The following is a 25,437-nucleotide window of genomic DNA, read 5'->3' as shown; positions in this document are numbered from 1 at the left end:
ACTCTAGTCCCTGGCTTGCAGACAGCATCTTTGGACCTGCCTAGGGCCTGGGAGACCTCACTGCCCTGGAAGGAAGGACACAGGCCTGGCTGGCTTTGCCACCAGCTGATTGCAGAGCCCCAGGCCCTTGAACTGTCATAGGCAGTGGCCAGGGAGTGGTTACAGCAGGCCTTGGGCAAGACCCATTGCTGTCTTGGCTTTGGGTCTGCAGCACTGTCACAGTGCTGGTGGCCACAGGGGTGCTTGTGTCACTCTACCCCCAGCTTCAGGTGGCTCAGAACAGAGAGAGAGACTCCATTTATTTGAGAGAAAGTTAGGGAAGAGAACAAGAGTCTCTGCCTGGTAATCCAGAGAATTCGCCCAGATCTTGTCTGAGACCATCAAGGCAGTACCTCTATGAGTCTGCAAGAACCACAGTGTTACTGGGTGTGGGTGCCCCCTAAAGCAGATACAGCTTAGATCACAACACCCAAGTCCTTTCAATATCTGGAAAGTCTTCCTAAGAAGGACGGGTACAGCTGGGCGCGGTGGCTCACGCCTCTAATCCCAGCACTTTGGGAGGCTGGGGAGAGTGGATCACGAGTCCAGGAGTTCAAGACCAGCCTGGCCAAGATGGTGAAACCCCATCTCTACTAAAAATACAAAAATTAGCCAGGCGTGGTGGCAGGCGCCTGTAATCCTAGCTACTTGGGAGGCTAAGGCAGAGAATTGCTTGAACCCGGAAGGCAGAGGTTGCAGTGAGCCGAGATCGCACCACTGCACTCCAGCCTGGGTGACAAAGTGAGACTTGATCTCAAAAAAAAAAAAAAAAAAAAAAAAGACAACTAAGGCTAGACAATGAAGACTGCAATAAATACTGAACTCTTCAATGCCCAGACACCGAAGAACATCTGCTAGCAGCATGACCCAGGAAAACATGACCTCCCCAAATGAACCAAATTAGACACCAGGGACCAATCCTGGAGAAACAGAGCTCTGACCTTTCAGACAGAATTCTGTTTGAGGAAACTCAAAGAAATTCAAAATAACACAGAGAAGGAATTCAGAATTCTATCAGATACATTTAACAAAGGGATTGAAATAATTAAAAAACATCCAGAGCAGAATTTCTGGAGCTGAAAAATGCAATTGGCATACTGAAGAATGCATCAGAGTCCTTTAATAGCAGAATTGGGCTGGGCGCAGTGGCTCATGCCTGTAATCCCAGCACCTTGGGAGGCCGAGATGGGTGAATCACCTGAGGTCAGGAGTTGGAGACCAGCCTGGCCAACATGGTGAAACTCCGTCTCTACTAAAATTGCAAAAATTAGTTGGGCATGGTGGTGGGCACCTGTAATCCCAGCTGCTCGGGAGGCTGAGGCAAGAGAATCGCTTGAACCTGGGAGGTGGAGGTTGCAGTGAGCTGAGATCTGGCCACTGCATTCCAGCCTGGGCAAGAGAGTGAGACTAAACAACAAAAAGTTAAAAAGTTGCCAAGACAGTATTAAATTGAAACAAAAATCAAGAAGCTTTTAAAAACAAAGTTAAAAAGCAGGAGATGCTGGGCACCATGGCTCATGGCTGGAATGACAATACATTAGGGGGCCGAAATGAGAGGATCACTTGAGCTTGGGAGCTTGAGACCAGACTGGGCAACATGGTGAGATCCCCATCTCTACAAAAAAAAAAAAAAAAACCCCAAAAAACAAAAAAAACAAAAAAAACTTAGTCGGATGTGGTGGCACATGTTTGTAGTCTGTGGTGGAAGGTGAGCCATGATTGTGCCACTGCATGCACACCAGCCTGGGTAACAGACTGAGACTCTGTTTCAAAAAAAAAAAAAAAAAAATGCGAGGGGACTAAGTTAAGAGGTAGTTTTGTTTGTTTGTTTTGTTTTGAGACAGAGTCTTGCTCTGTCAGCCAGGCTGGAGAGCAGTGGCACAATCTCGGCTCACTACAATCTCGGCTCACTGCAACCTCTGTCTCCCAGGCTCAAGCTATTGTCCTCCCTCAGCCTCCTGAGTAGCTGGGATTACAGACACGTGCCACCATGCCCAGCTAAGTTTTGTATTTTTAGTATAGATGGGGATTCACCATGTTGTCCATGCTGGCCTCGAACTCCTGACCTCAAGTGATCTGCCTGCCTTGGCCTCTCAAAGTGCTGGGATTACAGGCATGAACCACCATGCCCAGCCAGGAATCACATTTCAACATGAGATTTGGAGGACAAACGTCCAAACCGTATCAACCTTTATGCTTCTTTTTGGCTTCCAGGAAAAACAAGACCCCTCTCTCAGGTGCCCTTAAAGAACCCCATCCTTTTTCACAGCATCTAACCAAACTTTGGTTTTTTGAGACTAAATTTTTTTTGTTCCCTCACCAAATTATAAGTCCCATGTGGGCAGGACCTGGGCCCCTTTTGCTTCTCACTGTGTCCTCAGTGACTAGGACAGTGCCTGGCACTTTGCAGGTGCTCAAACATCTTTTCTTGGTTACATGAAAGAGTGAATGGCTTTTTTGAGCACCTACTAGAGATTAAAAGTTTTATAGATGTCAAGTTTTCCTAAAGCCAAGCACAGTGGTGGCCCGGTTTGGCACTCAATAACTTACTGAGTCCTTGCCACCCAGGTCTGCGTTCTGTCTCTCTGGGTTTAGGGGTCTGGGATGTGGCCTTCCCTAGGGCTGCTATGAGTTGCTGTGGAGGCAGAGAAGACAAGGCTTAGCCTGCTAGCTGGAGCACTTCAGGCATCATTACTGTGGGCAGCTCTGTGAGGTCACTCCTGCCCCAATCCCTGGGCACCCGGCTGAGTGTGAGGCTTTGAGGACCAACCTAGAGATTAGGAACAGGGTTTTAGGCCAGGCATGGTGGCTCATGCCCATAATTCCAGCACTTTGAGAGACCAAGGTGAGAGGGTCACTTGACCCGAGGAGTCGGGGATCAGCCTGGGCAACATAGTGAGTCCCCTTAGCTACACTTAAATTTAAAAAAATAGAAAAGAAGGAACAGAAAATAGAAAAGAAGCAAATAGAAATAGAAAAGAAAAAGAAAAGCAAGTATAATAGAAATAGAAAAGAAGCAAATACTGTATTCTTCTGCCGTCTCATGGTCAGTCCTAGAATAGCAAGGGAAGCTTCCCCACCTCTCTGGTACTATACTGGGAGTGACCGCCAGAGGGCAGTGTTCTCCACATTGTTGCACCCAATAGGTGTCCCACCACACAAACCCAGCTCTTTAAAAAGTAGATTTTTTTCTTATCCAAAGTCGATTCATACAAAAAGAAAAAGAAATAAAAAATAAATTATTTTAATGGCTTCATTGCTACATGTTTGTTTTTTTGAAAAGGAGTCTTGCTCTGTCGCCCAGGCTGGAGTGCAGGGGGGTGATCTCCCCTCACTGCAACCTCCGCCCCCTGGTTTCAAGCGATTCTCCTGCCTCAGCCTCCGAGTAGCTGGGTTTACAGGCATGAGCCACCACGCCCGGCTAATTTTTGTATTTTTAGTAGAGACAGAGTTTCACCATGTTGGCCAGGCTGTTCTTGAACTCCTGACCTCAAGTGATCTGCCCACCTTGGCCTCCCAAAGTGCTGGGATTACAGGCGCGAGACACCGAGCCCAGCCCTCATCTCTATTTTAAATTATAAAAAAATTTTTAAAAGAATTATTGAGGACCCAGATATTTATTAATTTATCAAAAAGTAATAATGAACTCATTACATGTAAACATAAACATATTTTTACGAAAAATACCTTCATTTCCAAAACAAAGAGAAATTTAGTGAGAAAAACAGCATTGTTTTACACTTTTGCAAATCTCTCAAGCAACTGTCTTAATTAAAGACTGTTGGAGCCTCATGTCTACTTCTGCATTCAGTCTGTTGCAATATGTTGGGGCTTTTAAAATTTTTATTTATTTTTTTATTTTGAAACAAAGTTTTGCCCTTGTCGCCCAGCCTGGAGTGTAATGTTGTGATCTTGGCTCACTGCATCCTCCACCTCCCAGGTTCAGGTGATTCTCCTGCCTCAGCCTCCCGAGTAGCTGGGATTACAGGAGTGCGCCACCACATCCAGCTAATTTTTTTGTATTTTTAGTAGAGATGGGGTTTCACCATGTTGGCCAGTCTGGTCTTGAACGCCTGACCTCAGGTGACCCGCCCACCTCAGCCTCCCAAACTGCTGGGATTATAAGCATGAACCACTGCGTCCCGCAATATATTGTTTTGATTGAAGAAAATCCAGCCTCCCGCAAACACGGAGTTGGAAAAAAAGACGAGTATTTTGATAGCTTTTTCAGATAATTGTGAATATTCTTCTTTAATGCTACGCCAAAACTTAACAAGCAATTGTTTCTTTAAGGTTGATTATAATGTAGAATCTGAACCCATATCAATGAACATTTCATGCTTTATTATATTAAAATGCACGGGCCTATCTTGTACTTTTGTTTGTTTGTTTGTTTTGGAGAAGGACTCTCACTCTGTTGCCCAGGCTGGAGTGCAGTGGTACCATCTTGGCTTACTGCAACCTCCACCTCCTGGGTTCAAGTGAGTCTCCCACCTCAGACTCCTGAGTAGCTGGGATTTCAGACACATGCCACCATGCTTGGCTAATTTTTCTGTTTTTAGTAGAGCTAGGATTTCACCATGTTGGCCAGGCTGGTCTCGAACTCCTGACCTCAAGTGATCTGCCTGCCTCAGCCTCCCAAGGTGCTAGGATTGCAGGCATGAGCCACTGTGCCTGGCCTATCTTGTACCGTGAATGGCTGTTTTACCTACATGTGATGTGCAGCATCATGTGGCCTCTTTGAAATTTTGTACCCATTAAATCACATACATCTCCCAAAAGATGACATGTCACTGAACAGTGTCAAAAAATAGCATTTGTTAGCACTGCCATCCATCGCATCAGAAAAATCTTTAAATATTGAGAAGTTGTCAAGCTTGTGGTGGTGTACACAAATTTTCCAAAATTCTAATTTTCCCTTGAAAGCTCCAAGTTCCAACTTTATCATTGGCAACAAATGCTTCAGTTTCTTGAAGGGACAGGCTCACTTTGCTCATTTATGAGAAAATGTCTGTCTGCCAAATGCCCAGATCTGAATACCCATCATGTGTCTGTTCGTCGTTCTTTCCCGTATAAACAGTGTTCTCGGCTGGGCGCAGTGGCTCACGCCTGTAATCCCAGCACTTTGGGAGACAGAGGCAAGCAGATCACGAGGTCAGGAGTTCGAGACCAGCCTGACCAACATGGTGACACCCCCCATCTTTACTAAAAATACAAAAATTACCCAGCCTGGTGGTGTGTGCCTGTGATCCCAGCTACTCAGGAGGCTGAGGCAGGAGAATTGCTTGAACCCAGGAAGCGGAGGTTGCAGTGAGCCAAGATCGAGCCATTGCACTCCAGCCTGGGTGACAGAGCAAGACTCCATCTCAAAAATAAATAAATAAATAAATTAATTAATTAATTTAAAAAATAAGATAAACTGTGTTCCCTGGACCAGAGGCTCGCGTGGCTCCACCTCTGACAAGTTGTTTCTGCGAGCCAGTCCCCTGCTCTGGAGCAGGCGCTCTGTGTGCATCCCTGCTTCATCACACAGGAGATCAAAAGGGTATGTACTTAAGTGACACAGGCATATTTTGTCCCCACAAGTGCTTATCTAGGGGAGTGCACAGAGACCTGCCTAGTCTGTGGCCACTGCCTTGCTTCCTGAAGTTCCAGCAGTTTCACCCATAGTGGCTTTTTTTTTTTTTTTTTTTTTTGAGGCTGGAGTGCAACGGCACGATCACGGCTCACTGCAGCCTCTACCACCCGAGCACAAGTAATTCTCCCACCTAAGCCTCCCATGTAGCTGGGACTATAGATGCGTGCCACCATGCCCAGATAATTTTATTATTATTATTATTATTATTATTATTATTACTTGTAGAGACGGGGTCTTGCCATGTTGCCTAGGCTGGTCTGGGCAAACTCTGCGGCTCAAGCTATCTGCCCGCCTCACCCTCCCAAAGTGCTGGGATTACAGGTGCGAGCCGCTGCACCCTGCCCACAGTGGCTTTTATGTCACCAATGCCATCACAGTGAAAAGGCAATACTGTCTTAGGATTGTGAGGGAAGGGTCTTAGGACTCCGGGACTCAGTGGGCAGCTGCTCACATTGCATGGGAAGCATCACAGATACCCAGCCACCAACGCCGATGGTGGAGGATGCTGTTTTGGTGACCTGAACCTGGGAGAGAAGCCGCTATCAGTGCTGTGATTCTCTGAAATGGTTAAACTCTTGGCGAAGTTCCCTACAAAACAAAGTCCAATCTTCCATTCATTTGTGTTCTCAGAGTATGTTTTAAAATATGCAAAAAGGCTGGGTGCAGTGGCTCACACCTGTAATCTCAGCACTTTGGGAGGTCGAGCCAGGTGGATAACCTGAGGTCAGGAATTCAAGACCAGACTGGGCAACATGGTGAAACCCCGCCTGTACTGAATATACAAAAATTAGCTGGGCATGGTGGTGCACGCCTGTAGTTCCAGCTACTCGGGAGGCTGAGGCACGAGAATCACTTGAACCCTGGAAGAGAAGGTTGCAGCGAGCCGAGATTGTGCCACTGCACTCCAGCCTGGCAACAAAGTGGGACTCTGTCTCAAAAATAAAAAATAGGCTGGGTGCCTGTAATCTCAGCACTTTGGGAGGCCGAGGTGGGTGGATCACCTGAGGTCAGGAGTTCAAGACCAGCCTGACCAACATGGTGAAACCCCATCTCTACTGGAAATACAAAATTAGTCAGGCGTGGTGGCGCATGCCTGTAATCCCAGCTACTTGGAAGGCTGAGGCAGGAGAATCGCTTGAACCCGGGAGGCGGAGTTTGCAGTGAGCCGAGATTGTGCAATTGCACTCCAGCCTGGGTAACAAGAGCAAAACTCCGTCTCAAAAAATACAATAAAATAAATAAAAAATAAAATAAAATAAAATATTCAAAAATACCTCATGTTTAGGTGTGAAATGGAGTTTGGTTTTTCAGTGACACGAATATGTGAAAGTGTCTTGTCTCACCCCCAGCCCTCAGCTAGGGTTGCCCCAAAAGTGGTGGCAGAGGAGTTCCCACAAGGGAGTGCCTGAATCATCCTGAAGGGGGGCCAGCTGGGATTCCAAAGAGAGAAGCACGAAGCGCCGGGGTGATGAGTCCAGGCTTTTATTAGGGGAGCTCACTTCCACAGGGCCGTGCACATCCTCAGGCAGCCAGGAGAGAAAGGGAGGTCCACCTAGGTGTGTCCACAGCCATGAGGTCAGGGTGTGGAATTTTTCTGAGGCTTTAAGGAATTGGGCTCAAGCCTGGGGCCAGTTTTGTTCAGGGTTTTGGGCAATAACCTAGACTTCTTTATCAGTGCCTGGGAATGTTCGAGGCCCTGGTTTGGGTTCAAGCCTGCTGGGAAGCCCTGCAGCTGGTTGGGTCATGAAACAGTCAAGGCACTCTAGATTTTCGGTCAGGACACGGAAAGAAAGTGGGACAAACTAGGGGACGCTACAGAAGGGACATTTGAAAATCAGAATACTTTGGACAGTTTTTTTGTTGTTGTTGTTCCAAAGGGCGGCTCTGAGCATTGCAGGATGTTCGGCCGTCCTGGTCTCTGGCCCAAACACCAGCAGTGCCTCCCACATCCCTGCAACAACCCAAACCGTCCCTATGAGTACTCAAAACGCCACGAGGCTCCAGCTCTGCCTGCTGGAGCCCCAAGGATCTAACCCCTCTGGAGCCAAGGACATGTTGCATGCCAGGGATCCCTTACTGGGTGACTGAAGCAGGGTTAGGGTCAGGGGAGGGACCCCAGTGAGCAGTTGATGAGCTCAGGTCGGCCATCTTGTGTGGTGCTGCTGGGAGGGTACAGGCCCAGAGCTGGGCACTTGCCGGGGAGACCAGATGTGTGTGCTGAAAAGTATCTGCATGATCTTGTCTTCAAGGAGCTGGTGAATGTCAGGCCTGGAAGGAGTTGAACAGCCAGGGAGACAGCAGGGCATGTGGCGTTTCCAGACCCTAAACCTGCTGTCAGCCTTGGGATGAGACCTCCCCAGGTGCAGCCTCACCCCTCCAGGGCCTGCATGCTGCGTGCTCTGCTTTTCCTTGGGCCTTCACATATGCCGCATCCTCAGCCTGCGGCACTCTCGCCGACCTGCTGTGTGTGCCTGGTGGACTTCCCTCCGCTTCTCACTTCAGATACTGCCTCCTCCAGGAAGCTCTCTCTGACCCCCTCAGTCTGAGCTGAGTGGCCTTGCAGGCCCTGTACTCACCCACTGAAGCATTTACCCCTCTCTATCCCTATTTGTGGGTCTCTCTCCCTAGTAGAGCTGGGAGTCCACAGAGGGCTCTAATTCTCTCTTGAATTCCCAGGCCTAACATAGGGCTGGCAACCATGGTCAGTAATATCTGTGGGCTGAAGGAGAAGGCAGAAACATAGAGTGGAAGGCAGGGAGGTGTAGGGAGACAGAGTTTGAGGGCAGGAAGGTTTGAAGGGTCAGAGGAGGAGGCGCCTGTGGAGGGTTGCAAAGACAAGAACGGTGCCAAGCCATGGCACGGAGGGAGGGACAAGGGCTGAAGGGAGAGACGCAGAATTCATGGTAGGGCCGGGCCCCAGGGACTCTAGGACAATGGCCCATGCCACTAGCCTGAGGAGTGTGCCCTCCGAGTGAGGACAAAACAAGAAACCATTACCGCGGAAGTGCACAGGCCCTAAAATGTCTAGAGTGCTGAGTTCACAGGACCCTTAAAGATCACAAATCTGAGCCCGGTGTGGTAGCTCACGCCTGTATTCCCAGCACTTTGAGAGGCCAAGGCAGGTGAATCACCTGAGGTCAGGAGTTTGAGACCAGCCTGACCAATATGGTGAAACCTCATCTCTACTAAAATTACAAAAATCAGCTGGATGTGGTGGCGTGCACCTGTAGTCCCAGCTACTTGGGAGGCTGAGGCAGGATAATTGCTTGAACCCAGGAGGCAGAGGTTGCAGTGAGCCGAGATTGCACTACTGTACTCCAGCCTGGGCGACAGAGAAAACAAACAAACAAACAAACAAAAAACAAACCACTAGTCTGATTGACCATTGTATAGATGAGGAAAACCAAGGCCGAGTCCAATGTGACATTTCTGGGGTCAAGGCCAGTCTGCCCCTGGAGAATTTCTTGTCCATAGAGGCTTAGGGTTTCTTATGGCAAAATACTTCCCCTACTGCACTCACTTGCACTCCAATTCCCGCTACTATGCATTTCTTCAGCTTAAGGCACCTAAAGCAGAAATGTCAGTTTCAGATCCCACAGGGCTCCCATGGCTGGGTGTGGACACTTCCCATGGCTCAGTGGAGCATGCATGACCCTGCAAGAACAGGTCAAACAGGCCGTGTGATCCCTTGATCTGAACTGTTGGCTACTAACTGAAATTATGTTTAAAAACCAGACATGATGCCTTTAAGACTGTGCAAGTCAAGCAGATCCTTTAGGGGACAGACTCAGTGGCCAACTGTCTGGGAGGCCCAGTTGGGACTTCCCATGATTTTGGAAATGGACTTCCTCATTATTTTGGAAATCCCCCAGAAGGGTATCCTTGGAGCCTCTTAGTCACCGATACCAACGGTACCATACTCAGAGATGTTTTCCAAAAGGAGGCTCAAATTGGGAGGGCTTTGGGGGGCTGGAGGATGGTAGGGAGGGAGGAGGGGAGCAGAGGGCAGAGGGGAAGCTGGCCTGTACAGGATTGAAAAAAAGAGAGAAGGAAAGTTGCTTCCTTCTAATGTGCTCATTTATGCCATTCATACAAAATTCCTGAGTTTGTTTAACTCCTTCATTTTATTTTTATTTTTTAATCACTTTTTTTTTTAAAGACAGGGTCTTGCTCTGTTGCCCAGGCTGGGGTGCAGTGGCAAGATCTCCGCTCACTCTAACCTCTGCCCCCCGGGCTCAAACGATCCTCCTGCCTCAGCCTGCAGGTAGCTGGAACTACAGGTGCCACCACACTGGGCTCACCTCCTTCATTTTAGAGCTGAGGAAATGGAAGTCCAATAAAAGAGTGACTTGCCCAAAGAACCAGCAGGTGGTGGCAGGGCTACCCTGTGGTAGGGGTTGGGGGCAGAGGTAGAATCCAGGTCTCCAGGCTCTTTCCTCTCTCAGGAAGAAGGTGAGGGTGAGTGTGCCCGGCGCTGGCCTCAGCACCACACAGCTTATCTCCATTTTACAGGGAGAGGGAAGAACTCTTACAAGGTTCCACAAGCAGCCGGTATCGGCATGGATGAGACCCCCTCAGGTTGGATAAGTTCGCAGGAGAGACAATTTCCCATGGGCTGGGAGAGACGGTTGTTTCTTGGAAGAGATGGCCCCAAAGGGTGGACAGGAAGGGATAGAGAGAGAGAAACAGAGAGAGGAGAGGGAGAGAGAGAGAGAGAGAGGACACACAGAGAGAGTTAAAGATCAATAAACAGCGGGGAAAGGTGTGAAGTGACAACTGAGCCCTTCCACAGACTCTCTCCCTAGTTCGACTGCCCCCCACCCCCACCCCCAAGGGACCCACTCGACGCTGCCCGCGCATGCCCCAACCCGTTCGTGCCCCCGCCTGGCCGCGTGCAGTCTCGCGGATGCGTCAGGCCACGAGTGCGCCACTGCTCGCCCCGCGCTGCGTCCCAGCAGACCTGCGCGCCTCTCCTCTGCCCCGGTCTGCGCCCTCAACCCCGCGCTTCCGCTATATTCCGGAGGAATCTGAAATCAGATTCAGATGTGAAGCGCGGTTTCGGATCCTCTTTCGCTTCTCTATCTCGAGAAACTTGAAACTGCGTCCTCTAGGATTGCATCAAACTGCATCTTGAGCGTGGAGGAGGACTGCTGAGCCCCACGGGTTCGCCGGGCTGGAGAGGTCTTGCGCAACCTGAGGGTTGGGGAGAGAGGGGTGTTAGCGGAGGGAATGGGCCCTGACGGCCCTAGAAGCTTCCCCGAGCGCCTCCCACCTCCAGCGGACTTGCTGTTAAAAACGCAATTAATGCGTCCTGTGAGTCAGAATAAGGATGACTACTTATGGAAGAGGAAGGAGTGACTGGGGTGGGGCGCGTGGAGAGACTTCTGCTGTGGCTGGCAAAGTTCTTTTTCTTGGTCTCGGAGGCAGTTCACTTTGTAGTAATTAGTTAAGCCGTACATCAGAACCATTGGATTCTGTATCCGGGTTTTATTTTTACAATAAAAATACGTTTAAAATAATCAGTTACAGTTATAAAACTGAAATTCTTCCCATTCTAATTTTCTTTCTCTTTTTCTTCCTTCTTTCTTTCTCTCCTCCTCCTCCTTTTTCTTCTTTTGTTGTTGTTGTTTTGTTTTTTATTTTTTATTTATTTATTTGAGACAAGAGTTTTGCTGTTGCCCACGCTGGAACACAGTGGCACGATCTGGCTCACTGCAGCCTTGACCTCCTGGGCTCAAGCGATCCTCCCTCCTCAGCTTCCCGAATAGCTAGGATCATAGGCGTGGACCATCACACCCGGCTAATATTTTTTATTATTTATGTAGAGACAGGGTCTCGCCATGTTGCCCAGGCTGGTCCTGAACTACTGGGCTCAAACGATCCTCCTACCTCAGTCTCCTAAAGGGTTGAGATTACACGTGTGAGCCACTTTGCCCGCCTGAGCAGCTTTTTAAGTCAGGCATTGAGTCAGTATCTCTGGGGACTGAGAAGAGGTATATATTTTTAAAGTTCCTCCAGTTTTTCAAAAGGGCAGCCAGGATTGAGAAACACTGGGCTATCATGGTGGGATTCCATATTAAGATTTTGAAAGCCACAGGCCTTGAAGAAGGAAGCAGAGGCTCCCAGAAGCCCAGGTGGATGCTCTGCCTGAGCCCTCCCAGCAGGCGAGGTGCAAAGCTGGCCTGGAGCAGGAACTCCCACTGCCCACGCCAGGGCTCTGCCCTCAGACCACCCTGAGTGTGCCTCCTTCATGCAAATTTCTCTGTCTTCAGATTGGAGATCATGGGGTAAAGATATATGTATATGTGTGTGTGAGAGTATATATATATATGATATATATATATATATGATATATATGATATATATATATAAAAGATATATATAAGGTGTATATATATAAAAGATATATATAAGGTATATGTATATATAAAAGTATATATATATTTTTTTTAAATTAAGATTTAGGCCAGGCATGGTGGCTCATGCTTGTAATCCCAGCACTTTGGGAGGCTGAGGCAGGTGGATCTCCTGATGTCAGGAGTTCGAGACCAGCCTGGCCAACATGGTGAAACCCCGTCTCTACTAAAAATACAAAAATTAGCTGGGCATGGTGGCACAAGCCTGTAATCCCAGCTATTCGAGAGGCCGAGGTGGGAGAATTTCTTGAAACTGGGAGGCAGGCGGAGGTTGCAGTGAGCTGAGATTGTGCCACTGCACTCCAGCCTGGGCAACAGAGTGAGACTCTTGTCTCAAAAAAAACAAAAACAAAAACAAAAACTAAGATTTATATTACTGTTGCAATTATTAAGGCAATGCAGTTCTAATAAATAACCATCCAAAGATGTACATAAATGCAATTCACAAAATAAGAAATCCACATAGGCTGTAATCATGGAAAAGGAGTCTCACCAAGTTTTAAAGAGACACAAATTAAACCAACAATGAAACATTTTCTCACCTATACCATTGGCAAAGATAAAATGCTAATGCTGCATAAATATGGGGAAATGAGTACTACCTTCAAATTCATACCTGTACAATCTTCTAAAAGGAATGTATTAATGTGGAGGAAAAGCATTAAACATGCCTTCTGTTTGCTCCAGCAATTACACTTCTAGGAAAAACACATGTGCCGAGGTATATGTTCATTGCAGAGTCATATGTCATGATTAAAGTAATTGGAAACAGCACAAAAATCCAGAGATAAGAGATTTGTTACCAAAAAAAAATTCTGCATCCTACAGTGGAAATTAAGCAGCCATCAAATAGAATGAAGTCTTTAAGTTAAAAAAAAAGAAAAAAGAAAGAAAAGAAAAAAGGGCTGGGCGCAGTGGCTCACACCTGTAATCCCAGCACTTTGGGAGGCCAAGGTGGGCGGATCACCTGAGGTCGGGAGTTCGAGACCAGTCTGACCAGCATGGAGAAACCCTGTCTCTACTAAAAATACAAAAAAATTGGCCGGGCGTGGTGGCTCATGCCTGTAATCCCAGCTACTCGGAAGGCTGAGGCAGGAGAATCGCTTGAACCTGGGAGTAGAGGTTATGGTGAGCCGAGATTGGGCCATTGCACTCCAGCCTGGGCAACAGGAGCAAAACTCCATCTCAATAAATAAATAAATAAATAAATAAATAAATAAATAAATAAATAAAAATAAAGGGAGGAAGAAGGAAGGAAAGGAAAGGAAAGGAAGAGGCAGCCAGGCACGGTGGCTCACACCTGTAATCTCAGCAATTTGGGAGGCCAAGGCGGGTGGATTGTGTGAGCCCAGGAGTTCAAGACCAGCCTGGGCAACATGGTGAAATCCGATGTCTACAAAATATACAAAAATTAGCCAGGCCTGGTGGTACATGCCTATATTCCCAGCTACTTGGGAAGCTGAGGTGAGGATGACTTGAGCCCGGGGAGGTCAAGGTTGCAGTAAGCTGTGTTCACGCTATTGCAGTCCAGCCTGGGTGACAGAATGAGAGCTTATCTCAAAAAAAACAAACAAACAAACAAAAAAAACAGAGATTGAGTCTGGCCAGGTGCAATGGCTCACGCCTGTAATTCCAGCACTTTGGAAGCCTGAGGTAGGAGGCTTGCTTGAGGTCAGGAGTTTGAGACCAGCCCGGCCAACATAGTGAAACCCCATCTCTAAAAAAAAAGGTTTTTTTAAATAAAGAAAAAATGTTAAATATAAAGGGGATGAGGCTGATTGATCTATATGAATTGATGTGGAGAAATGGATATATCATGTTACATGAAAAAATAAGTTCCAAAACAGTAGTTCTATATACACACATGTATATATGTGTATGTATTTGTGCATACATGCATGTCCATGTGTGTATATATATATACACACAGGTATGTGTATATGTGCATAAGTGCATGTATAGATACGGATGTGTATATGTAGTATGTATGTGTATATGTATGTATGCGTGTTGTAACCCAGAAAAGTGTCTGAGGCAAGTCTCCATCAATATTTAGAGGTCTATTTTGACAAGACTGAGGACGTGCCCCAAAAAAGAGGCATATGCCACAGTGGGATCTGTGGCCGCATAATTTTTTCAGAGAAGATTTTGAGGGCTTCAGTATTAGAAGGAGAAAGAGCAGGCAGGAGGGAAAGTGGGGAAGGAAAAAAAAAGGAGGGTAGGCAGTGAGATAAGGGGGCACATTTCTGTGAGGCTTTGATTAGTGCTCACCAAATCCACGTGTTACCTATGAAAGGAGAGGGTGGAGGCACAGGCAATTATGCCTCTGTCGCCGGCTCAGTAAATCTGCATTTGTCTCTGGGTGGCTGGAGGGGTGATTTCTAGTCTTGTCTTTGTCTTATACCTGTGAAGATAAGGTGTTAATGTACATGGTCAGGGTGAGGGAAGCCACCAGCGGAGACACGGTCTTCTATTTTGTAGCTATCTGCTTAGAAACAAAAAGAAAGGCAGTTTGACCAGGTGTGGTGGCTCACGCCTGTAATCCCAGCGTTTTGGGAGGCCGAGGCAGGTGGATCACCTGAGGTCAGGAGTTCGAAACCAGCCTGCCCAACATGGTGAAACCCCATTTCTACTAAAAATAAGAAAATTAGCCAGGCATAGTGGTGGGCACCTATAATACCAGCTACTCAGGAGGCTGAGGCAGGAGAATCGCTTGAACCCAGGAGGCAGAGGTTGCATTGAGCTGACATTGTGCCACTGCACTCTAGCCTGGGCAACAGAGTGAGAATCTGTCTCAAAAGAAAAAAAAAAGAAAGAAAGAAAGAAAAAAAGAAAGGGCAGCTTTTGGTGTGACTCAGTTTCCAAGCTTAACTTTTCCCTTTGGCATAGTGAGTTTGGGGTCCTGAGATTCTATTTTCCCTTCACTCTGTGTACGTGTATATGTGGGTGTCCATGTGTATATGTGTATATAGGTACAGGAATGTGACCACTTACCTCACTGCCTGTGTTTTATGTGTGTGTGCATGACTAAGAAAATATTAACTATTAACACTGGTTATCTCTGGGCAGTGGAATTACAGGGGTTCTTTCACTTTTTACTCTCATACATATCTATATTGTTTGTATTTTTATTTTTTTACCAGCAGAATGTACTGTTTTTTGTTTTTGTTTTTGTTTTTGTTTTTTGAGACAAGGTCTTGTTCTATCGCCCAGGCTGGAGTGCAGTAGCACGATCTGGGCTCACTGCAACCTCTGACTCCCAGGTTCAAGCGATTCTCATGCCTCAGCCTCCCAAGTAGCTGGGATTACAGGCATATGCCACCACAGCCTGGCTAATTTTTGTATTTTTAGTAGAGACGGGGTTTCACCATGTTGGTCAGGCTGGTCTTGAACTCCTGACCTCAATTGATCCACCGGCCTCGGGCTCCCAAAGTGCCACCATGCCTGGCCATACTGATTACTGATTTTATAATCAGAAAAGAAGTGTAAAATATTTTTCATTTTTAAAGAAAAAAGCAGGCCGGGTGCAGTGGCTCACACCTGCAATCCCAGCACTTTGGGAGGCAGAGGGGGGCGGATTACCTGAGGTCAGGAGTTCAGGTGGCTAACATAGTGAAACCCTGTTTTTACTAAAAATACAAAAAATTAGCCAGGTGTGGTGGTGCGCGCCTGTAATCCCAGTTACTTGGGAGGCTGAGGCAGGAGAATCACTTGAACCCGGGAAGCAGAGGTTGCAGTGAGCTGAGATTGCATCATTGCACCCAGCTTGGGCAACAAGAGTGAAACCCTGTCTGGAAAAAAAACAAGCAATACATATATATTAAAGAAAATGCCAACAAGAAGAATAAAAAACCCAAGTTCCCCAAGTTCTCCCCAGTTCCATCCCACAAAAGCCACTGCAGTACCGTTTTGGCCCATTTGCTTCCTATCTTTCTCCTATGCCTTTTTAAAATAGCTGTTGTTATTCAGCATAAATTATTTCACATCCTGTTTTTCTACACCTGACTTCTTGATGTTCATATTTTTCTCCGTTATGAAAAAGCCCTCACAAATGGCCCTCTGATTGGGCCTATAACATGTTGTGACTGTCTTGATTTTCTTAACAGCTTTCTTATTGTCAGACATTTGGCTCATCTCCAGTCTTTTACCATTGAACTAATGCCCTGATCAGCATCTCTGTATGAGTGTTTTCCTGGCCATAGGCCTTAGGACGCATTCCCAGCTGTTAAATTACTGGGCTAACGGAAAGGAACACATTTGAGTCCCTGACTCCTCATTGCCAAATTGCATTCTGCGCAGGTGGAGCCGTGGTGCCCCTCGAAAGATAATTTTTCTTTCGTTTTCTAGTAAGTCCAGTTGCTTTTCTGAATCTTCTTCCTGCAAACAGACTCAGTTTTCCCTGCTTCTGTCCTCCTTCCCCGTGGTTTAATGGACAGAGAAGGTCCTGTGGGTTCAACTCATAGCTGGGTCTAAGGCTGGCTATGTAGCTTTGGGAAAATCACTTGCCCTCCCTGGGCCTCCTCCATGTCTCTCCTCTAGCTCTTGCCTTCCTTCCCACGTGGCTTGAAAGATAATGTGCCTGACTTTGCCTTCCAGAGGTCAGATGGGGTTGGATAGTACTGTTATCTTTCTTCTCCAGGATAGCAGCAAACCTTTCCCTCCAAGTTTTCCTCCAGAGATCTGGCAAGAAATGTTCCCTTCGTTTGTAAGGAAGGCCTTCTGGTTTCCTACCTGGCACCATGGAGTGGAAAGGTGACCTTTCCTAGAACATCTCCCCAAGGCCAGCCTTCTCCCAAGAGAAAGAAAACAGGGCCTGTTGGCTCACGGTTCGTTCTGTTTTCCCTTCCTTGAAAATCAGGGTAGAGAAGCTCCAAGTAACTTTCCTCCTCCTTGGCCTGCCCAGAGGCCAAACAAGATTGTTACTGAAGACTCAGGGAGGCTGGGCATGATGGCTCACACCTGTAATCCCAGCACTTTGAGAGGCTGAGGTGAGTGGATCACAAGGTCAGGAGTTCAAGACCAGCCTGGCCAACGTGGTGAAACCCCGTCTCTACTAAAAATACAAAAATTAGCCAGGAATGGTGGCAGCCACCTGTAATCCCAGCTGCTTGGGAGGCTGAGGCAGAAAATTGCTTGAACCCAGAGGCGGAGGTTGCAGTGAGCTCAGATCGTGCCACTGCACTCCAGTCTAAAAAAAAAAAAAAAATTGCCGGGCATGGTACTGGGTGCCTGTAATCCCAGCTACTCAGGGGGCTGAGACTGGAGAATCGTTTGAACCCAGGAGGCAGAGGTTGCAGTGAGCCGAGATTGCACCTGGGTGACAGAGTGAGACTCTATCTCAAAAAAAAAGACTCAGGGAAACAGCACTAGAAACCCTGGATTCACCCATTCCCACATGCATGGGAAGGAGAGAAAAGACATCATCTTTGTTCATCCCTCACAAGTTCGTGATTGAGGCATTCTCCTCAAACAAAAGATAGATTGACAAGAAAAAGAAGCAATTTTATTTTTAACACGTGCTATGCCCATCATGTGGGAGAAACCTCAGTTCAAAAATATCTTTTGAAGGCTGGGCACAGTGGCTCACACCTGTAATCCTAGCATTTTGGGAGGCTGAGGCGGGGGAATCACTTGAGGCCTGGAGTTTGAGACCAGCCTGGGCAACATAGCAAGACCTTCGTCTCTACAAAAAAATTTACAGTTAGCTGGGCATGGTGGCTCAAACCTGTAGTCCCAGCCACTTGGGGGCAGGATCGATTGAGCCCCAGAGGTCAAAGCTGCAGTGAGCCTAGATTATGCCACTGCACTCCACCCTAGGTGACATATCAGGACCCTGTCACACACACACACACAAAGGCCGGGCACAGTGGCTCATGCCTGTAATCCCAGCTACTCGGGAGGCCAAGGCGGGTGGATCACCTGAGGTCAGGAGTTTGAGACCAGACTGACCAATATGGTGAAACCCTGTCTCTACTAAAAATACAGAATTGGACTCACACCTGTAATCCCAGCTACTCGGAAGGCTGAGGCAGGAGAATTGCTTGAACCTGGGAGGCAGAGGTTGCAGTGAGCCAGGATCGTGCCATTGCACTCCAGCCTGGGTGACAGAGCAAGACTGTCTCAAAAAAACAAAACAGAACAAAACAAAACAAAAAAATGTCAAGGAGGCATATTTTAGGGGTGGAATACTCTGGTTTCCTTCAAATGTATCAGTTCATTGTTACATTTATTCATGAAATAATTTGCTTAGTCACCTATTTAACTAGGGTTCCTGAAGGCCTTCTGTGGGGTGCCTGGCTTGGTGCCCTTGAGATGTGCCTGGGAGCCAGCTTCTGCCCCTTAGCATCACATGCTGAGGGAGGCATTGTGAGACAGTCATGGCTTCCCCTTCAGGCCTGCTGAGCTCTGCATGGCCCGGCTCACTTCCACCTCATGCCCAGCTCAGCCCTCCTTCTGCCAGACACATGTGCACCCAGGACTCTGCCTGGAAGATGAGCTCTGTGCCCCACCCCTCTGCCAGGCTGACTCTTGCCTATGCTTGGGTCTCAGCTCAGATCCGCCTGCTCCCAGAAGCCTTCTACGGCTGCCCAATTCTGGACTGGGTGGCTTCCGAGGCAGCCCCTCCCTTTAAATCTGACCACATGCCCTGTGGTCTCTGCCCCTTCTCTTGTAGGTCCCCCCCCCACCCCTGACCGCAGACTGTAACCTCTGGAGGGCAGAGATGGTATCTGTCTCATTAAGCCTTGGATCTGTTTTATCCCAAACAGTGTTCAGCATGCCCTAGGTGCCCAGTAAACACATGGGGAGAGGGGTGAAAGGTGTAAGGATTGCTGGGAGCAGCAGGCAATGTGCAGCGTAGCTCTCTGAAAGATACAGACCTCAGAAATGCTGCAGGAGCCCGGTGGGGCTGGGATGATGAGAGGAGACCTCCAGGATGCAGGGGGCATGCGCTGGCCTTGCAGAGTAAACAGGCACCAGACGAGCCGAGGGGAGGAGAGGCACTCGGGTGAGGCAAGCGGCATGAGCAAAGCACAGACGGTACACAGCATGGTGTGTACACATGAGCCAGTATTGGCTGGAGTAGAGGCATGGGCAGGGAGGTCCATGGGACAGGTGGGCATTGCAGGTTGAGGTCACTGGGGCAGAATGTTGTGGGAGCATGCTGGAGAGGTGGAGAGGTGGAGGGGAGAAGGAGAATAGAGCATTGACTGCCAGGGAGATGAATTTGGCATTGATCCCATGGGCATTAGAGAGCCAAAAGAGACTCTATCTCTGTTTTTTGTTTTTTTTTTTTTTCTTTCTTTTTTCTTTTTTTGAGACAGGGTTTCACTGTTGTTGCCCAGGCTGGAGTGCAGTGGTGCAATCTCAGCTCACTGCAACCTCCTCCTCCCAGGTTCAAGCGATTCTCCTGCCTCAGCCTCCCAAGTAGCTGGGATTACAGGTGCCCGCCACCACGCCTGGCTAATTTTTATATTTTTAGTAGAGATGGGGTTTCACCATGTTGGTGAGGCTGGTCTCAAACTCCTGACCTGAGGTGATGCACCTGCCTCGGCCTCCCAAAGTGCTGGGATTATAGGTGTGAGCCACCTTGCCTGGCCGAGAGTCCATCTTTAAAAATAAATAAATAAATAAATAAATAAAAAGTAATTTTATTTGAAAAACAGGAAGACCAGGCATGGTGGCCCACACTTGTAATCCCCACACTTTGGGAGGCTGAGGCAGGAGGATTGCTTGAGGCCAGGAATTTGAGACCAGCCTGGGTAACACAGTGAGACCCCATCTCTACAAAAAAAACTTAAAATGATCACTGCTCAAACCTAAGCCAGTAATAAAAAAAGAAAAAAAAGGGCTGGGCACGGTGGCTCACACCTGTAATCCCAGCACTTTGGGAGGCCAAAGTGAGCAGATCACGAGGTCAGGAGATTGAGACCATCCTGGCTAACACAGTGAAACCCTGTCTCTGCTAAAAATACAAAAAATTAGCCGGGCATGGTGGTGGGCACCTGTAGTCCCAGCTACTCGGGAGGCTGAGGCAGGAGAATGGCATGAACTTGGGAGGTGGAGCTTGCAGTGAGCCAAGATCGCGCCACTGCACTCCAGGCTGGAGGACAGAGTGAGACTCCATCTCAAAAAAAAAAAAAAAAGAGAAGAAAAGAAAAAGGAAAGAACAAAAATAGCCAGGTGTGGTGCTGTGCCTGTAGTCCCAGCTACTTGAGAGGCTGAGGCAGGAGGATCTCTTGAGCCCAGGATGTTGAGGCTGCAGTTAGCTATGATCGTGCCACTGCACTCCAGACTGCATGACAGAGTGAGACCCTGTCTCAAAAAAAGAAAAGAACAAGCATTACAGGGGCTGGGGGTAAGGGGGATGGGGATGGGACGTTATCGTTTAATGGGTACAGAGTTTCTGCTTTGCAAGATAAAGCGAGTTCTGGAGATGGGTGGTGGTGACTTTGCACAGCACAATGCGTGTATTTCATACCACTGAACTGTACACTTAACAAACAGTGAAGCTGGCAAATTTTATGTTATATATATTTTACTACAATTTTAAAAGCTGGGGGAAGAATTGCAAATTTTGGCTGCACAGCCTTTACATCAGAGGAGATGGCCCAGGTGCAGCCATGTGCGGTGGCTGCGGAGGCAACAGTGAAGATGACAATGATTGCTGACATTTAAGAAGTCCCCAGAGACAGCAGGGATAATGAGTAGGAAAAAACTCTGAGGGCAGGGGCTATGTCATACCCTCCTCTCCATACCCAGCACCAAGCCCATAGAGTGCAGTGGCGGGCTCTCAGCCACAGCGGCTGAGGAAGTGGTTGCGTCTGCATCGGCCTGCAGTGGACTGCCGGGGCAGGAAGAAGAACTAGCTTGTCTTTCACGGAGTCTTGTGTCCTTAAACCCAGATAAAGCGGCCTAGAGACAGTGAGAGAACAATGAGGGTTGTTGCAGACTAAAGCCGGGCCCTGGGCAATGTTTGGCCTCTGCCTGGGCCTCGGGCCCCACCCCCCATGTCCCCGGGCCCCACCCCCCAGGTCCCCGGGCCCCACCCCCCAGGTCCCCTTCCAGAACTTCACCAGTCTTGCCGGCCTCTCAGAGAGTCAGCCAACCCCTGAGGCCTTTCGGGGACTGATAACGCTCACCTTTGGCTCAGACTGAATCCAAACACTTCACCTCTTTTTCTTCACAGAGCCCCATCCTCCAAAGGACCCTGTTCCAGCTTGTGACAAACCCAGAGGCAATCCTGGTCATCCGGAGGAGGAGGTGTCTGTGCCGTTGCTTGGAGCTGACTGTAGGCCTAGAGGCACAGGATTATACAGGATTGTAAGAGAATTGTATTTTTCTTCCTTGCATTTTTCGGTGTTTTCTAAATTTTTTCAATGAGTATCCTTTTGAGAATCATTAAAAAAGAATACATTTTACTTGACAAGGTATATAAATACATGGGTTAAGATATTAAAATAGAAAGAGTAAGGATTGCTTGCACGTTACAGAGTCTGGGATTTGGAGCTCAGTGCCTGGCACTGAGGGGATCAAAGTGCCAGGTGCTCAAAGTGTTCGTTGAATGAGAGGCGGGGGTGGGGGTAATGGGTGGTGAGACTGCTACCCTGTCCCTCCTCCCTCACCACATCAATGTCTGTGAAGCATTTCTAGAGGATCTACTGTGCAATGGAACCCTGGGAGCCAGGGGTGACTGGGGAGGCAGCAGGTGCAGGTGCTGGTAATGCCGTGCCATTGGGAGCCCCACTGGGGGTCCTCCATGAATCACAGGGGACCCATACCCAGGATACTGAGGAAGCTTCCAGAAAAAAAGAGTGATGCTGGCCCTGGATTGTGAGGATGGGCAGGGGTTTTTTGGAGTGGGAGAAGGGTACAGGTGTTCCAGGTCATCAGTCCAAGTTCCTTCACTCCTTCATTATTTACTTGCTCAGTCATTTCACAAACAACCTTTTTTAAAATAATTAGACAGGGGTCTCACTATGTTGCACAGGCTGGTCTCTCACTCCTGGGCTCTGGCGGTCCTCCCGCCTTGGCCTCTGAAAGCGCTGGGATTGCAGGTGTGAGCCACCATGCCCAGCCTCACAAACATTTATCTGCAGTCCAAACTGGATCCAAACTCTCCTCACCGCACCTCTGTTTCTGGAGAATGCTTCCAGGGCGCCTAGAATATACCAGGTCCTGACCTAGTGACTAGAGATACAGCTGCCACTCATAAATAAACATATGCTAGCATGGCAAGAAGAAAAGATGGCAGGATGGCAGAGAGAAAGCTGCTAGGGAGCAGATGCAGAATGAATATCTGGAGCAGGAGCAAAGGGCAAGAGCCTCCAGACTGGGGGGAAACGACCTGGGCATGCTCAAAGGCAAAAGAGGCCACTGGAGATGTGTGAACAGCAAATGGTGTGATCTGATTGGGATCGTAAAGGATCACTTCCACACAACAGTGATCACACTTTGTCCACAGGCACCCTTTAAAAAACCCCTTTCAAATTTTTTTTTTTTTTTTTTGAGATGGACTCTCACTCTGTCACCCAGGCTGGAGTGCAATGGCACGACCTCGGCTCACTGCAACCTCCACTTCCCAGGTTCAAGCGATTCTCCTGCCTTAGCCTCCTGAGTAAGTGGGATTACAGGCACCTGCCACCATACCCGGCTAATCGTTATAGTTGCAGTAGAGACGGGGGTTTCACCATGTTGGCCAGGCTGGTCTCGAACTCCTGACCTCAGGTGATCCGCCCTCCTTGGCCTCCCAAAGTGCTGGGATTACAGGCATGAGCAAATGTGCCTGGCCCCTTTGAAATTTTTATCATTAGCCTAAACTTGCAAATGATGCATTTGGTGGTTTGCTGTAGACTGTATATCATCTTTAAATATTTTTTCCGCTCCCGCTCCCGCTCCCTCTCCCTCTCCCTCTCCCCACGGTCTCCCTCTCCCTTTCTTTCCACAGTCTCCCTCTGATGCCGAGCCGAAGCTGGATGGTACTGCTGCCATCTCGGCTCACTGCAACCTCCCTGCCTGATTCTCCTGCCTCAGCCTGCCGAGTGCCTGCGATTGCAGGCGCGCGCCGCCACGCCTGACTGGTTTTCGTATTTTTTTGGTGAAGACAGGGTTTCGCTGTGTTGGCCGGGCTGGTCTCCAGCTCCTAACCGCGAGTGATCCGCCAGCCTCGGCCTCCCGAGGTGCCGGGATTGCAGATGGAGTCTCGTTCACTCAGTGCTCAACGGTGCCCAGGCTGGAGTGCAGTGGCGTGATCTCGGCTTGCTACAACCTCCACCTCCCAGCCGCCTGCCTTGGCCTCCCAAAGTGCCGAGATTGCAGCCTCTGCCCGGCCGCCACCCCGTCTGGGAAGTGAGGAGCGTCTCTGCCTGGCCGCCCATCGTCGGGGATGTGAGGAGCCCCTCTGCCTGGCTGCCCAGTCTGGAAAGTGAGGAGCGTCTCTGCCTGGCCGCCATCCCATCTAGGAAGTGAGGAGCGCCTCTTCCCGGCCGCCATCACATCTGGGAAGTGAGGAGCGTCTCTGCCCGGCCGCCCATTGTCTGAGATGTGGGGAGCACCTCTGCCCTGACGCCCCGTCTGGGATGTGAGGAGCGTCTCTGCCCGGCCGCCCCGTCTGAGAAGTGAGGAGACCCTCTGCCTGGCAACCGCCCCGTCTGAGAAGTGAGGAGCCCCTCCGCCCAGCAGCCACCCCGTCTGGGAAGTGAGGAGCGTCTCCGCCCGGCAGCCACCTCGTCCGGGAGGGAGGTGGGGGGGTCAGCCCCCCGCCCGGCCAGCCGCCCCGTCTGGGAGGGAGGTGGGGGGGTCAGCCCCCCGCCCGGCCAGCCGCCCCGTCTGGGAGGGAGGTGGGGGGGTCAGCCCCCCGCCTGGCCAGCCGCCCCGTCCGGGAGGTGAGGGGCGCCTCTGCCCGGCCGCCCCTACTGGGAAGTGAGGAGCCCCTCTGCCCGGCCACCACCCGGTCTGGGAGGTGTACCCAACAGCTCATTGAGAACGGGCCATGATGACAATGGCGGTTTTGTGGAATAGAAAGGGGGGAAAGGTGGGGAAAAGATTGAGAAATCGGATGGTTGCCGTGTCTGTGTAGAAAGAGGTAGACATGGGAGACTTTTCATTTTGTTCTGTACTAAGAAAAATTCTTCTGCCTTGGGATCCTGTTGATCTGTGACCTTACCCCCAACCCTGTGCTCTCTGAAACATGTGCTGTATCCACTCAGGGTTGAATGGATTAAGGGCGGTGCAAGTTGTGCTTTGTTAAACAGATGCTTGAAGGCAGCATGCTCCTTAAGAGTCATCACCACTCCCTAATCGCAAGTACCCAGGGACACAAACACTGCGGAAGGCCGCAGGGTCCTCTGCCTAGGAAAACCAGAGACCTTTGTTCACGTGTTTATCTGCTGACCTTCCCTCCACTATTGTCCTCTGACCCTGCCAAATCCCCCTCTGCGAGAAACACCCAAGAATGATCAATAAAAAAAAATAAATAAATAAAAATAAATAAATAAATAAATATTTTTTCCACACAAAACTGGGGCTACACATTTAGTCCCTTTAAGAAGAATGCCTGCCACATCACGCCCCATCAACACAGTCAAGCAAGACAAGACTTTCTTTCTGTCAGAAAACCCTGGCTTCATGTTTGAAATTCAAATAAGGGTGTGGCCCCATGACAACGTTCTCACTTCTGAGCCTTATCTGGGCCAAAGGAGTGTGACCCTGGTTCCTGCCCTCATAGTGTGCTGAGAACAGGCTCTGCCTCCAGGTACCTCTCTAACTACCTACTGGGGGTAGGAGGTTGTTCACAGGGCACTGCCCCATGGAAGGCCCAGTTGGGCGGGAGTTGTGCCTTTCTTGTGTGAGGTGGCAGGATACCAAGAAAGGGGACACGGGGGGCTGGGCCCGGTGGCTCACGCTTGTAATCCCAGCACTTTAGGAGGCCAAGGCGGGTGGATCACGAGGTCAGGAGATCGAGACCATCCTGGCTAACACGGTGAAACCCCATCTCTCCTAAAAATACAGAAAATTAGCCGGACGTGGTGGCAGGTGCCTGTAGTCCTAGCTACTCGGGAGGCTGAGGCAGGAGAATGGTGTGAACCCGGGAGGCAGAGCTTGCAATGAGCAGAGATCGCGCCACTGCACTCCAGCCTGGGCGACAGAGCAAGACTACATCTCAAACAAAAAAAAAAAAAGAAAGAAAGAAAGGGGACACGGGGAAGCCAGACAGGAGGATGGCAGCCACATGACATTGCTGTGCATCCAGGATTTGAGCGTGGATAGCTCTGAGGGAGAGTTGTGTGGGATCTGCACCCAGGCTCCATGCTCTGACATGGAGGATGAAGAGTGGGGAAAAGAGAA

General features: G+C 49.0%; 1 long non-coding RNA gene across 1 annotated transcript, besides 2 other annotated features; it reads right to left on the bottom strand.

Annotated features, from left to right (window-relative positions):
* Positions 10,552 to 10,641: a silencer, noted in NCBI's record as "silent region_2467". NCBI's record gives its function as "represses an Ori minimal core promoter by ATAC-STARR-seq in GM12878 lymphoblastoid cells {active_cell/tissue: GM12878}" and the evidence as "EXISTENCE:reporter gene assay evidence [ECO:0000049][PMID:35858748]".
* On the bottom strand, positions 20,612 to 21,632 carry LINC03139 (long intergenic non-protein coding RNA 3139). Its single transcript, XR_007062186.1, has 2 exons — positions 21,234 to 21,632; positions 20,612 to 21,006 (listed from the first exon to the last, which is right to left on the bottom strand). It is a non-coding gene; the product is annotated as a long intergenic non-protein coding RNA 3139 (long non-coding RNA).
* Positions 22,842 to 23,722: an enhancer, noted in NCBI's record as "H3K27ac-H3K4me1 hESC enhancer chr10:73635755-73636635 (GRCh37/hg19 assembly coordinates)". NCBI's record gives its function as "activates a minimal SCP1, AML or CMV promoter by ChIP-STARR-seq in naive H9 embryonic stem cells {active_cell/tissue: H9 hESC(naive)}" and the evidence as "EXISTENCE:reporter gene assay evidence [ECO:0000049][PMID:30033119]".

The sequence above is a fragment of the Homo sapiens genome, chromosome 10 (genome assembly GCF_000001405.40).
Source record: "Homo sapiens chromosome 10, GRCh38.p14 Primary Assembly".
Lineage (NCBI taxonomy): Eukaryota > Metazoa > Chordata > Mammalia > Primates > Hominidae > Homo > Homo sapiens.
The sequence above is the reverse complement of the archived record's forward strand: the minus strand, read 5'-3'. Positions and strand labels throughout refer to the sequence as shown.